Source organism: Homo sapiens, chromosome 9 (assembly GCF_000001405.40).
Source record: "Homo sapiens chromosome 9, GRCh38.p14 Primary Assembly".
Classification (NCBI taxonomy): domain Eukaryota; kingdom Metazoa; phylum Chordata; class Mammalia; order Primates; family Hominidae; genus Homo; species Homo sapiens.
This window is the reverse complement of record NC_000009.12, coordinates 16388740-16403350: the sequence shown is the minus strand read 5'-3', so window position 1 is coordinate 16403350 and position 14611 is coordinate 16388740. Positions and strand designations below refer to the sequence as shown.

Sequence of the window (14611 nt, the reverse complement as noted above, 5' to 3'; positions counted from 1 at the left end):
AGTCTATGAAGAACTAGGAAAATCTCCTTTTACATGAGGGAAAACAAAAACAGATGCCAGTACAGAGATGATGAAGGTGTTGGAATTATCAGAAAAAACATTTAAGAGCAAGGATTATTTAAATCCTCCAACAATAAGGGCAGATACTTTTGAAACAAATGAAATGCTAGAAAGCCTTAAGGAGGAAATAGAAGATATAAAGAACAAAACGGAAATTTTTGGCCTGAAAAATAAGGTCATTAAGATTAAAAAGCCACTGGATAGTTCAAAAGCAGAATGGAGATGATAGAAGAAATCCAGTGAACTTGAAGACAGGAAAATAGCAGTTATCCAATCTGAACAATAGAGACAACACCATTGAACAGAGTCTCAGGGAACCATGAAACAACAACAAAACACCTAACATGTCTGTTATTAAAGTTTCAGACATAGAGGAGAAAGAGTTCAGTGAAGAAAAATATTTGCAAAAATAATGGCTAAAAACTTATTTCACAAGAGACACAAACCTACAGATTCAAGAGACTCGGTAAACCTGAATTGGATAAAGCTAAGGAAATGCACACTCACGTGCAGCACAACAAACCGCTGAATTCTACAGATAAGGAAGCAAATCTCAAAAAGAAAAGAACCCAAGAGAAATGATGCCTTACTTACAGGGGGGACATTGGAATGATTGTGTTTTTGCATCAGAAACCAAGAAAGCCAGAAGAAAGTAGAAAAATATTTTCAAAGTACTAAAAGAAAATAACTGTCAACTCAAATTCTAAATCCAGGAAAAATATTCTTCAAGAATTAACCTGAATTAAAGACATTCTCAGAGGAAGGAATTCTCATTGTTTTCCAGCATACATCTTCCAAAAGAGCTGCTACAGGAAATTCTTCAGAAAGAAGAGAAATGATACCAGAAGAAAAGTTGGAGCCTTAAGAAAAAAAAAGAGAGCAATGGAAATGATAAATATATGGGCTAATATATTATTTTTATTCTGTTGTTTTTTGATGGTTTGAAAGCAAAAAATACAACACCATCTGATGGCATTTTCAATGTATGTGGACATAATACATAAGACAACTATGATAGAAGGCTATACTCTGTATGCTTCCATTTCTACAATGTTCTCTAGAAGACATAACCATAGTGGTAGAGGACATGTAAGTGATGGCCAGGTCTTGGGGTGGAGGTGGGCTTTGATTGCAGAGAGAGAGCAGGAAGGAGTTTTTGAGGTGATAAAACATTACTGTATCTTGTTTGTGGTAGTGGTAAATCAAATTTATATATGTAGTAAATTTCATAGAACTACACACAGAGAAAAAGTCAATTCTACTGTATATTAATTCTAAAAAAAAGAACAGGAAGTATATAGTTAGGTCCCCCGGCAGTCTGATTTAAAAGGGAAGGAAATCTGCCTCCCGCGCCCTCTCACCCCACAGCTCTAAATGATGCATTTCTTCCTTTTGGTTTCTATAGGAATGTCCTTAAAAGAGGGAAGTTCATATAAAAATGATGAGATTTAAAATAAAAGCAGATAGGAAAACCCATGGACTTAAATTCTGCTTTAGGTTTAAATATTCTTTGGCTCGTTTCCAGCAAGAGAGCCTGAAAGTCGGATGAGTGGCATAAGACGTTACAGCAGGAGGTACAGCTAGTGACTACAAAAATGATTGGTCTGAAGTGAACAGCTTTCATGTTGGTAGATATGTCATATGTTGGTAGATATGGAGAACACTTCAAAAATTTGTGATGGACAGGGATAGAGGAGGAATTCTGTGATATTAACAAGCAAAGTTCTTTCCCTCTAGAATAGTAAATAACTCCTAACTCCTGACCATGGCACTAGAGCTCTTCAGTGCCCTGTAATTGCGGTTAATAGACAGAACCCCTGAGTCGCTATCTACACCCTCCAGGTTGCTTTCACACACGTACAGGTTGAAGAAACACTGGGGAACAAGAGCTTAGGTATGAAGAACATCTTAGATGTTATGTCCATGTCGGTAATGTCATGGGCTAGCTGCTTCTTCAAAGTAAAAGGTGAGTGGGGAAGAGAAACCAGCAACAGAGATCGACAAGAGTGGTAACGCGAGAACTAGACTCTAGTGAAAGGAAAGGAAAGAAGTTAAGTGAAAGTAAAGAAGTTAGAAGTATCAAAGAGTGGGTGGTCGACCATATAAAACACTCCAGAGAGGTCAGGTAAGGCAAAAATTGGGAAGCATTCATTGAATTTAATAATTAGGGCATTTTTCAATATTTTAGTGCAAACATATGATATATGCATCACAGTGTCTGCCCAGCCCAACTTCCCCTGCTGGTTAAAACTGCTTCAACCTCAGCCCCTACACAGGCAAGCTGTGTTAGGTTGATTTTCGCAAAACAGTGGTCAGAGCCTGACCAGGCATGGGCACCTGACTCAAGGGCAGCCCATTCCTAGGCTGGTAGGTGACCTTTGAGGAGGCCTAGCACAAAGATCACAATTAGCTGTTTCACCTGGCTCTGTCCAGGATTTGGACTGTGAGATATAAAGTGGATTGGCCATTTGCATGTGAGAGGAAAATACAGCAGGCTTGAAGAGAGAAAGAGAGATAGAGAGAGCAAGAGAGAGAGAGACTGCTATGGTTTTGAATACATCCCCTCTAAAATTCAGGTGTTGCAACTTAATGGCCAATGCAATCACATTAACAGGTGGGGCCTATAAGAGGTAATTAGGTCACGAAAAGTCCTTATAAACGAGGCTTCACAAATGAATGTGATTAAAGCCCTTACAAAAGAGGCTTCGTGCAGCATTTGACCCTCTTGCCCTTCCACCTTCAGCCATGGGGGTGGACGCCGTGCCTTCCCTCCAGACAATACAGTATCAATGCACCATCCTGGAAACAGCGGCTCTCACCATACACCGAAGCCACTGGCGCCTCGATCATGGACGTCTCAGTCTCCAGAACGTGAGAAATAATTTTTTGTTCTTTATAAATTATCAAGTCTGTGATATTCTTTTATAGGAGCACAAAATGGACTGAGACCGAGACACAAGCTATGTGTACCGAGAGAGGTAGATAATGGTGCCGGTCCGTCCAGCTGCTCTGATGAGAATGTGTGGGAATTTTATTACGAAGTTACCTGTCTAAAAGAATGAACCTTGTGTTGGATTGGGAAGAAGGGCCGTGGTAGAAAAGTGTGTGTGTGTGTGTGTGTGTGTGTGTGTGTGTGTAATAAGAGAAAAGACTTAATCATGATAGAGAATGTGAGGAATGCTACTATGTGACTCACCTAAATTCTGACTCTCAATCCAGCCCTACAGTTAGGGAGAATCATGTTTCTCCTACAAATATCCAAAGGACAGAGAAGTGCCCAGGGATGGCCAGCTACCTGGTGGCCATAGGAACTGCAGAATATTCACAGTGATCAAATTGTGGAGGGAAGGGCATTATTTGCGAGTCTGTACTGTGCACATGGTTCTATGTTAAGCACTTTACCCACGTTTCCTCATTTAAGCCCCACAACACCTGTAAATAAGCATGATTGTTCTCGCTTTAAAGTTCAGAAGATTTGAGGCCCCAGGAAATAACAGAGACCATTAAAACTGGAAGTTGAACCGAGATCTGTTTATCTGAGAGAGATCCTGATCTTTTCACCTTTCATACTTCCCCCATTTATGAATCTTATACCCTTAATAATTAACAAGCACACCTGCTGATTTCCTATGGGTGTGGCTCAGGATGAAATTTAAAAGTTTCCAATATAGTTGAGAAATAAACAAAAATACGTGTAACATGGCAAGGGACTGCTTGAAGTAGACCAGTCAGGGTTTTATCTATCTATCTATCTATCTATCTACACACACACATATAATTTATGATATATTATACATAAAAGTTATGATATATATAAAATTTATTATATGTTATATATAATTTATTGTCTAAGGTGAAAGGGAGGCACTAAAATTAATTGACTGGCATTAACAGTTCCAAAATAGTAGTAATTAGGAACTGTCCTGAACAAATCAGAACATATAGTTACCCTAATGAAACCTTGCTGTAATATTATACTTCCTGATTCAAGATTACTAAGGCCTCCAACTACTAACAAGGCCCTTCTCACATTTATTGTCTTTCAAAAAATACCCAGTACCTCTCAATCTATGAGGGCAGGGAACCCATGCTGAATTGGGAACCTCCCAGGCTTTCCTATCTGATAGCTTTTAGTGCAAATTGGGCAGATATGTTCTTAATTTGTGTAGGGATAAGAAGCCCAGGGCAATAATCATCTGGTGATCAGAAACTGAGTTTAGGAAAGGTTTGGGTTGGCCGGAAGCCTTGCCGTATCAATCAGGTTCTTAGTTGAAAGCAACAGAGAACAGCCCTGACAGAAAAGATAGATAGTACTGGTGGCTCACAGAATTGCTAAGAAGGCTGCATTACTAAGCACAGAAAGCAAACAGGAATAAGACAGACTGAAAAACAGGCAAATGACAGCCAAAATGACATCACAGAACTAACCCAGTGAGGACCTGGCTGCTGTCATTGGCACTGCATGTTGTATACCGCAGCCAGCACTGCTGCCATGTAGACCCAGAATGACTTCTCCACTGCTCCTGCTTTTTTTTGTAATGCCAACTCTCAATTCAGAGAGTCCAAGTGGGTGGATCTGATTGGTCAATCCTAGGCTATCCCTGCTAGTCTAGTCTTTTCAGGCCCATAGTGGAAAGGAGGGTTCTGCCTCCAAGAACTGTAATTTTGCCCCCAAATATTCATTTTTCCCTCCGAGGGGAAAGGATTACGCTTCCCTGCCCTTTTGCCATCAGGCTTGACCACGTTGCTTGTTTTGGCCAGTAGCATATTAGAGGAAAATCTGTGGGTGGTGTGCTAGTGGAAGCGTTAAGAGCCAATGCGTGCTCTGCCATCTACTTTCCCTCTGCCTCAAGAACACCAATGTTCTAGATTGGACTATTGCATCAACCTGAATCCCAAAAGTGGAAGATGACATGGAACAGAGCCACAACGAGCCCATGAGGGGCATGCAGCATTAGCAAGAATTAAACCTTTGCAAGCCACTAAGATTTGCAGGGGTTATTTGTTACCAGGGTATAAAGCAATCTATCTGACTGATACATGCTCTCACCAAAACACATGTGATGGAGAATTCCCAAACACAGAGAAAGAGAGTTCAGATGCTTGGCCAAAAAGTTAAAAAAAAAAAACAAACAATTAAAAAATTCATTTTCATATAGAACATTCATGTAAATATAGAATGTTAAATGAGTCACCTTCCTTAAGTTCTCAGTTTCCCTGTGGCTCTCCCAGGGGCTGCCCTATGGTCCTCACAGCACTATAAGAGTACACAGTTTGCGTGGGTAGAAGAACCCTTGGGGCAAAATCAGCAAATTCTTCACAATCTCTGGTGTGTGTATGTTAGAGATTATTTATATTGATCTTAAAAAAATCACTGAATGTTAAAATTGATCAGGGAAGGCTTCTGCTGGGAAAGAATGGTTTGTGAAAAACACTCAAGGCAAGTTGAGACAATAAAACATTGTAAAATGTGTGTTTGTGTGTGTGTGTGCACGCAAATAGCAAATTAGTTTTTAGGTGGTTTTATTGCTAAAAAAGTAGTTACATATTTTATTTTAACATGTAATGAAAATAAGGAATCTACTATTTCTTAGCTACACAATGAAAATACATAGTTGTGGCTGTTTTCTATGAAATTATTTTTCTTCTCCTAAGGAAATTAAGTTCAACACAACTTCCTGGCTTTCTTGAAAGTTTTAAGGTTCCACAATTTCATTCACATCTGCTCATGACGTTCAGTTTTTAAGACTTGGTTCACAGACTAAAAAGAATCCTTACATTAAGAAGCAGGTCAACCAATGAATTCCAAAGAGAATTTGCCTTAGAGGCCTTTCAGAAAAGGTAGGGCAGAACTTGGCAGTGGTACCAGGTGTTGGCTAACCCAAGGCATGGAGATAATTTGGAGATCCAGCCTCTTGTTACTTTAGTCCAAAAGAAGCAATTCCTATTTAAAAAGTAATCTAAAATGGTTTTTAAAAATCCACTTTTTTTCTTTTTAGTATGGGACATACCTATGAAATTCCACACATTTCCTTTCCGCCACTCTTAAATCAGTCCATCAATCCACTCTTTTCAATGGGTGATGTCATTTGTCCACTGCCTGGCCAATCTACACATCTTTTGAGTACCTACAATGTGACCTGGGGTGCATGTACCACCTTGGCATCACAGGATAATGTAGTTACCTGTTTAAGAGGTGAAAAAATGTTACCTTAATCACTGGCATCGGAGCTCCTCTTAGGGATAGGAAAGTCTTTGTTTAGTAAATAATTTCCCAAGCCTTTTTTTTTGTGAGTGTGGGAAGAAGAGTAAAGGGGATCATCTATACAGAACACATGAAAACAAGGGGATGGAGCAGCTGCTTTGCATGGAAAGATACAGAGGGAAAGGTGGGAAGGGGAGAGTATTGAGCAACTGGCTGGGAGACAGGAGGCGATGAGAAATTCCCAGGAACAAGGATAGGCAAGGATGCCCACTATCAACAGCACTAAACCTTAAGATATTGTTAAAAAGGGTTTACTTTAAATCCGCCTTATCAAGAGTCCCTGTGTGAATAGTGCTATGAGGAAAGGGACTGTGCACTTGAGGCGGTGAAATGATCCCTAAGAAGCATCAACACAGTGGAAGTGGGGGCTTGAGTCAGAGGTCTCTGAGTAAGTAAAAATTTCCCAAAGATATCCCAGAGTGACTGGGAGGTAGTTTGTGCAACCTCTGATGCATGATAGGGGTCACACCATTTTCACTGCAATCCCAATGAGCATGATGACTCAGCCACCAATTCCAGCTGCCGTTTTGGTTGCAGTTGTGAGAAGTGGTCCCATCCTCAAGAACATAACATGCTCCTATGTTATTGTGAACAGCGCTGCAGTGAACATATGTGTGCATGTATCTTTATAATAGAATGATTTATATTCCTTTGGGTATATACCCACTAATGGGATTTCTGGGTCAAATGGTATTTCTGCCTCTAGATCTTTGAGGAATCGCCATACGGTCATCCACAATGGTTGAAATAATTTACACTCCCAGCAACCGTGTAAAAGTATTCCTTTTTCTCCGCAAACTTCCAGCAGCTGTTTTTTGTCTGTTTAGTGTACCTATTCTGACTAGTGAGAGATGGCTTCTCATTGTGGTTTTGATTTGCATTTTTCTAATGATCGGTGATGTTGAGCATTTTTTCATATGTTTGTTGGCTGCATATATGTCTTATTTTGAGAAATGTCTGTTCATGTCTTTGCCCACTTTTTAAAGGGGTTGTTTTTCTTGTAAATTGGAGCAACCTGTATTCTCATCATGGGGAGGGGGTGGTTATTAAATGAACCATGCTTCATCCATACTATAGAACAAGTTACGCATCGTTTCAAAATAATGTTGGCAGATTTGAATATACTGACATGGAAAGATCTCTAAGACCTGTAGCTAAGTTTAAAAAGCAAGGCAAAGATCAATATCTAATTTTTTTATGGAAAACTTCCCACAAAATATAATTACATATTTGAATGTGTAAGTACATTTTCCTTGGTAGGGATGGGATTAGATAGGGAGCTGGAGACAAAACCTATTTTGCTTGAAAAATTTTAACCATGAGAATGTCTTTATGTTTAGTCGGGTGTGGTGGCACATACCTGTAGTCCCAGCTACTTGGGAGGCTGAGGCAGGAGGATTGCTTGAGCCTGGGAATCTGAGGCTGCAGTGCAATCGTGCCACAGAGCTCCAGCCTGGGTGACAGAGTGAGACCCTGTCTCAAAATAAATAAATAAATAAAAATTAAAAAGAATGTATTTATGTGGTACTCGTATAATCATGAATCATAAAGTTTAAAATAAAAATGTAGAACTGTGCAAGGTCAGATTCTGGAGACCATTAGAATACACACACACACGTGCACGCATGCACACACACACACACGTGACAGTGCTGGCAATGTAAATCTAGATAAAAAGAACCTAGTATTTAAAAGGAGCTCGGCAGCCTTGTCCTTTCTCAAATCAGAAAAGCCCAGGCTGCGGAGAAGCAAGGTTCCTATGCATGCACGCAACATGTGACCTTAACCTCCCAGGAAATCTGAAACTTAGGGCCTTGCCACAGGGACACAACATCTGTCACAACTACACCCACTTTCAGGTGTGTCGTGAGGACCTAGTCACCTGTTTTCACTCTTACTTTTGAGACAGCAAAGAGTTTTGAAACAGCCTCTGATGGAGTCCACAACTATCGGGGAAACCTGCCCCAATATTTCAACATAGGTTCTTTCTATTTTCCGTAAGTGTTGCCCGGCTGAGAAATAAAGAGAGACAATATAAAGAGGGGAATTTTACAGCTGGGCCACCATTGGTGACATCACATATTGGTAGGACCATGATGCCTGCCTGAGCCTCAAACCAGCAAGTTTCTTATTAAGGGTTTCAAAAGGGGAGGGGGTGTAACAACAGGGAGTAGGTACAAAGATCACATGCTTCAAAGGGCAAAAAGCAGAACTACTAATAAGGGTCTAACAAAGATCGCATGCTTCTGAGGGAACAGGACAAAGGGCAAAAGCACAACTACTGATAAGGGTCCAACAAAGATGACAATGAAAAGGGCAAAAGCAGCACTACTGATAAGGGTCTGTGTTCAGTGGTGCACATATTTTCTTGATAAACATCTTAAACAACAGAAAACAGGGTTCGAGAGCAGAGAACCGGTCTGACCACAGATTTATCAGGGCAGAGTTTTTCCCCACCCTAGGAAGCCTGAGGGTACTGCAGGAGACCAGGGCGTATCTCAGTCCTTATGTCAACTGCATAAGATAGACACTCCCAGAGCAGCCATTTATCAACCTCCCCCAGGAATGCATTCCTTTCCCAGGATATTAATATTCCTTGCTAGGAAAAGAATTTAGCGATATCTTTCCTACTTGCAAGTCCATTTATAGGCTCTCTGCAGGAAGAAAAATATGACTCTTTTTGCCCGACCCCACAGGCAGTCAGACCTTATGGTTGTCTTCCCTTGTTCCCTAAAAATTTCTGTTATTCTGTTCTTTTTCAAGGTGCACTGATTTCATATTGTTCAAACACACATGTTTTACAATCAATTTGTACAGTTAACACAATTATCACAGTGGTCCTGAGGTGACATATATCCTCAGCTTATGAAGATAACAGGATTAAGAGATTAAAGACAGGCATAAGAAATTATAAAAGTATTATTTGGGAACTGATAAATGTCCATGAAATCTTCACAATTCATGTTCCTCTGCCACAGCTCCAGCCAGTCCCTCCGTTCGGGGTCCCTGACTTCCCGCAACACACAACTGATCACCTCGGTGTGAAATTCTCCTTAGGAAATCTCACTGATGATGAAGCCAATACTTAGTCCTCATGTTGGGTGTGAGGACAGCACAGGCATGGGCTCTGTCTGTGCTGCTTAGTGGCTGATGTTCTTCAGCACCAGAAGTCAGACTTGCATGGAGTTCTGCATTTCCAGGTCCTGTTCAGGGCTGCTGGGCCTGTCTTCTTGTCTTCTATGAATCCTTTCTCTCTCACGTCTTCCTGTCTGTCTCATTCCCCTGCTCCCTCCCCTGTGTGTCTGTAGAAAACACCAAATCTTCAAGAAAACTTTCTCTACAAGCTACCACTACCTGGCCTTCCTCTCCTCTCTTACAGATCTTCTAGAAGGCCCAGTCCCTTCCTGTCATCTCCCGCTTCTTCTTCAGCAGTTTCAACCATTGACCTTCAACCCTCACAATGTCAGTTCTTCACCTATTACTGTGTCACTCTCACAGAGGTCACCTGTGTCCTCGCTGTCACCTACTCACATGCTGTCTCCTCCATACCCCATGACAGCCGCAGTTTCTGGCCATGGACAGCACCATTCTTGAAACTCTTCTCCCTTCACTCCTTTGAGATTGCTCTTTCTTGGTCTCCATCCCAAAGTCTATATTTCTCAGTGGTCTTTCGGGGTATTGCCTTGACCCTCTTCTCCCTGCCTTTTCTCCCTTAGGGATTTGTATCCAACGACACATTTTCAGCCCTTACTTTTGTGAAGCTGGTTCCCACGTCTACATCTGGCCATCAGCTTCTCCTTGTGCCCTGTGCCCCTTTCCCGCTGCCGGCAGGATATTCCCTGCACGCAAGCATCCTTCTAGCATTTTCGTTTTGGCAGCTGTAAATCTAGGCTGATCCTCTTCCTGCCAGCCCTACTTGTCTGCCTCCTGGGTTTCTGAATTCAGTGAACTCTCCAGTGATAAAGCCATCTTCTCTCCCCACCAGATCCCATTAATAACAATTCTCACTTGTATCCCTTCACTTGACAAACACCTCTCCTCCTTCCCTCCCGCTCCTGTGGGTTCTCACTGGGCCCATCAGTATAGCCTCTTAACTGCTCTCCCAGACCCCAGCCACCAGTGTGAACCTCCTAAGGCACCAGCTTCCTGTCTTCAAACCTTCATCTCCTCAAGGATAAAGTTTACTGCCTTAGGACAGCACTCAACTTCTCAATTTGCTCCAGCCTACCTGTAAAGCCTTATCTACTACTAGCCCTTCGTTTGTTCCATGAATCTTCTCATCAATCCCTATGGATTTAAGAAAATAAAGGCTTCCTGACTCTCTACAGAAACTGGGAGGTTCTCTAGAATCTCTAGAGTCTAGAGATGAGAGAATCTCTGGAGATTAGGTTTCACCTGCCTCCACGTGCAACCTTCCAGGATAATAGTGACTTGTGTCCTTTGTATCAGGCCCTCTGCCACATTGCTGCTTTTTCCAGCAAGACTCCCTCAGCATTGCCTCCTCTCACCCAGATCCTCTTCTTTCAAAGGCACCCCTTAACCTCAGAACTCTTCAGCTTAGTTACACTGAGGAGAAGACTTGGGCTCAGAGAAGTTAGGTAATTCCCTCCATGTCAGTTAGGTATTAATGGGAGGAGTGGGGATTTGAACTGCGATCTCTCTAATGTCTAAATGGGTGCTTTCTCCAGTTTGCCTGGATGGCTGCCTGATTGTGCTTTTCCCAGCTGGCCTTAAAGGGCTAGCAGTGTTAGCAACACTTGCGGTAATATTCTTGAGAACAATCTTGTCTTAGTTGCTATCTTTTCTAATCCTCCGTCCTACTTAAGGCTTGGAGCTCAGGGGTCCTCAATAAGTGCTTAGTGAATGGCACTGAATTTTCTTGTATTCTCCAGTTTTTCCCAAGCAGGTGCTATATTTCTCCTTAACTCCCAAAGGATTGATATTTTATTCAGCTACAGGACCTCTGGGTGGTGGATGGTCTTGTGGCTGTGGGGGTGTCCCGTTGCTTTAGCCTCAGTTAGGACTCATGTTGAGGAATGTAGGCTTCTTGAGCTTTGGTCATTTCCAAATCAGAGCCCATGGCTCTCTCACCCTTGACTTGAGCCCACTGCCATGAAGATTTGCAAATGACCAACAGGCCTCAGATTCCATTGCATGAGCCTTTCCTAAAGGAGCAGGAACAGGAGCAGGAACAGGAAGAGGAACAGGAGGAGGAGGAGGAACAGGAGGAACAGGGTTCATTTGGAAACACAGGAAAATGCCTAAATATACATGAAGAGTTAAAAAAGCACAGCCATGATTCTGTAAATTAGCCTTCACAGAGCTCCTTCATATTGAATGTTACTGGATATCACTGCTACAGCCCTGAAACTATTCTTCTATAAACCTATAAAAGGAAAGCATTTTGAATAGTTACACATTAACAATATTTAAAATTCTTTCTGGAGTAATGTTTGGCCATGATTAGCTGTTCCTGAATTAGGATGCATTATGCCTTATGCAAGCCTGCAGGAAAGTACACCGTCTTAGCCAGGGGCGTCCTTCACCTTTCTTCTTATAGCTCTTACATTTGGTAACCCTAAGCAAGCTACATAAGCTCCCTGAGCCTCAGTGTCCTCTGTTAGGTGGGAATGACAATACTTCACCTCACTGTTGTGAGGATTTAATGACTTAGAACTAAATCACTTAGCTCTGTGCCTGGCCCACAGTAGGGACTCAATTAATACAGATTTCTTCCCTTGTTTCCTGACAAAACCCGTTCATTTTTTAAACCAGTAAAGCATTGTCTCTAGTTGTTGTTTTTTAAATCCCCACCCATTATTTATTCATTGAACATTTGTTGATCACTTGTGCATGCCAGGCATTGTTCTAGGTTCCGGGATACCTCAATGAATCACATGGACAAGGCCCATGACTTCGCTGAGTGCCTCGGTGTTAGCACAGAGTTGGGGGTACATTATTCTCCAGTTTTGTTGGAATTAGCCTTTCTGCATCGTGTGTTCCCAGCTGGGGGAACCTCATTTCAATTCCTTCATCTTCTTTTACTTCATTTTCTGGTGCTGTACTCCAATACTGATTGCTTGTGGCAGTGTATGATTTGGAAGAAAATAACTTAGAAAAACAGATAAAATGCTTAAAGATGCATAAAGAATTGCAAAAGTACTCCCATGGTGTTTGAAAATTACCAAGACTCAAACAAGACTAAGACACACTCATGTTTAACTAAGTGAAGTATTTCTCACCATCAGGAGCTGTTCAGTTTGGATGGCGAGAGACCTGGAGGTGTTTGGATCAAATTGCCGTATTAACAAACTTGCGTTCCTGCACCTAGGTCTTGGCCAACTTACAGTCATTCAAATTACTCTAGGATAAATTAGCTTTGACCAAATCCCCTGAATCCACAAGCTTTGTGTCCCTAGTGCATTCTTCAATGCCTGGCACTAGATAGATGCTCAGCAAATTCTAGCAAATTCTATCATTTTTTATTTGTCTTCCCCTATGGCACCATAAGTTGCCTGAAGTCTGGGCCATCGTCTTATTCATCTTTGTATTATTCTGAACACAGAGTCTACCACAGTGTAGACCCGCAGTAAATGTTTGTTAAATGGACAAAGGAATGAACAAAGGAACAAACTGAGTGGAGGAATTTTTGGAAGCTCATTCTAGCATACAAGCTCTGCCAGAGCAGGGAATGGGAGGCTAGGCTGGGGGTGGAGGGTCACCGTGCCTGCAATCAGTGAATGGTGGCTCTCAGAAGACCTAGGACCCAGCATGAGTGTCCCTGCTTTCGTGGTGGCACAGGGTCATGTCTGTGTGAGGCCACTTCCCCTCCCCCACACATAATTGGAGGCCTTCTCTGATCAGCCTGCTTTGGAAAACTGCTTGCACCTGGCCTGGAAGAACACAATTAAAAGACGCCATAAAAATTGACAGATCACAGTGCGGAGGGCTGAAAATACATTACAATTCCAATCGAACTATAAATAAAGCCCCTAAATTAAATAAATCTCACACAATTATGGATTAAAACATGTTTAGTGTTAATGGCCTTGCGCATGGACCCTGACTCCCGAAATTGTTGCTGAGGCTGCATGGCCAGGGGATTGCATCATAATTAACACGAAGCCATCCCGGAGGGGGCGGCCCCAGGTCCAACTGTGGGCCTTCAGAAGGACAGGCGTGGACCAATGAGGCCCCCTCTTCTGGGTGAGCTTCCAAATGCTTACCCAGCCCCTTCATGGTACCACTGACTTTTCCTTGGAAGAATATGACCTGGAGATGGCTGTCACTCTTTTTTTTTTTTTTTTTTTTTTTTTTTTTTTTTTTTTTTTTGAGACGGAGTCTCGCTCTGTCGCCCAGGCTGGAGTGCAGTGGCGGGATCTCGGCTCACTGCAAGCTCCGCCTCCCGGGTTCACGCCATTCTCCTGCCTCAGCCTCCCAAGTAGCTGGGACTACAGGCGCCCGCCACTACGCCCGGCTAATTTTTTGTATTTTTAGTAGAGACGGGGTTTCACCGTTTTTTTAGCCGGGATGGTCTCGATCTCCTGACCTCGTGATCCGCCCGCCTCGGCCTCCCAAAGTGCTGGGATTACAGGCGTGAGCCACCGCGCCCGGCCGGCTGTCACTCTTAGGACCTGATCCTGTACACAAAGGCTTAGGCTGGGCTGAGTGTTGCGGCTCCCCTGGTTGCTCTATCGCGCAGATGTCTACATGCACCAAGACAATGACCCCACACCAAAAAAGGGATTGTGGAAGAAATACTTGGATAATTCAGTCATTTGATCACTCCTACTCTGTTCCTTTGAAGTCTATACCTTGTATATAAATGGCCAGCAATCATATTGTACATTAAAATACAGAACATTTTCTATAGTAACTCTTAAACTCCAATTGTTAGAACCAAGGAGGTTGGTAAAATCATGAAGGACAATGAAAGGTATCAGAGTTTTAGCTATATCAAACCAAGTAAGAGTGCCTAAAAATTAGGAATCTTGCAAGAGAGAGGTGAGGAGCCCATGGCTTTCATTCAAGATCAATTCGTACCTCTCACCGAGATCCAACAGATGGAAAGAGGCTCCGGGACCCCCATTGTGCTCCCTGGAGGAGGGCAGGGTGGTGGTGAAGAACAGGGGCTCTGGATCAGGCTGCTGGGGCTCTACTCCCAGCTCTGTGGCTTCCTAAGCACCCACTGCTCTTGGTGTTTTGGGTTCCCCGCCTCCATATCGGGGATGATAATGGCAACTCCTTAGCAGTGAGGGTCTGGCCTGAGCTAAGCCTGCATGTGTG

The 14611-nt window shown here is 42.5% G+C and overlaps 1 long non-coding RNA gene across 1 annotated transcript in view; it reads right to left on the bottom strand.

The window, feature by feature from the left end:
• The window catches only part of LOC124902125 (uncharacterized), a 26637-nt gene extending 12026 nt beyond the window's left edge, over positions 1-14611 (bottom strand). The window contains exon 1 of the long non-coding RNA XR_007061425.1: positions 14369-14611. This is a non-coding gene — a long non-coding RNA (uncharacterized LOC124902125). The remainder of the gene's footprint in view (positions 1-14368) is intronic.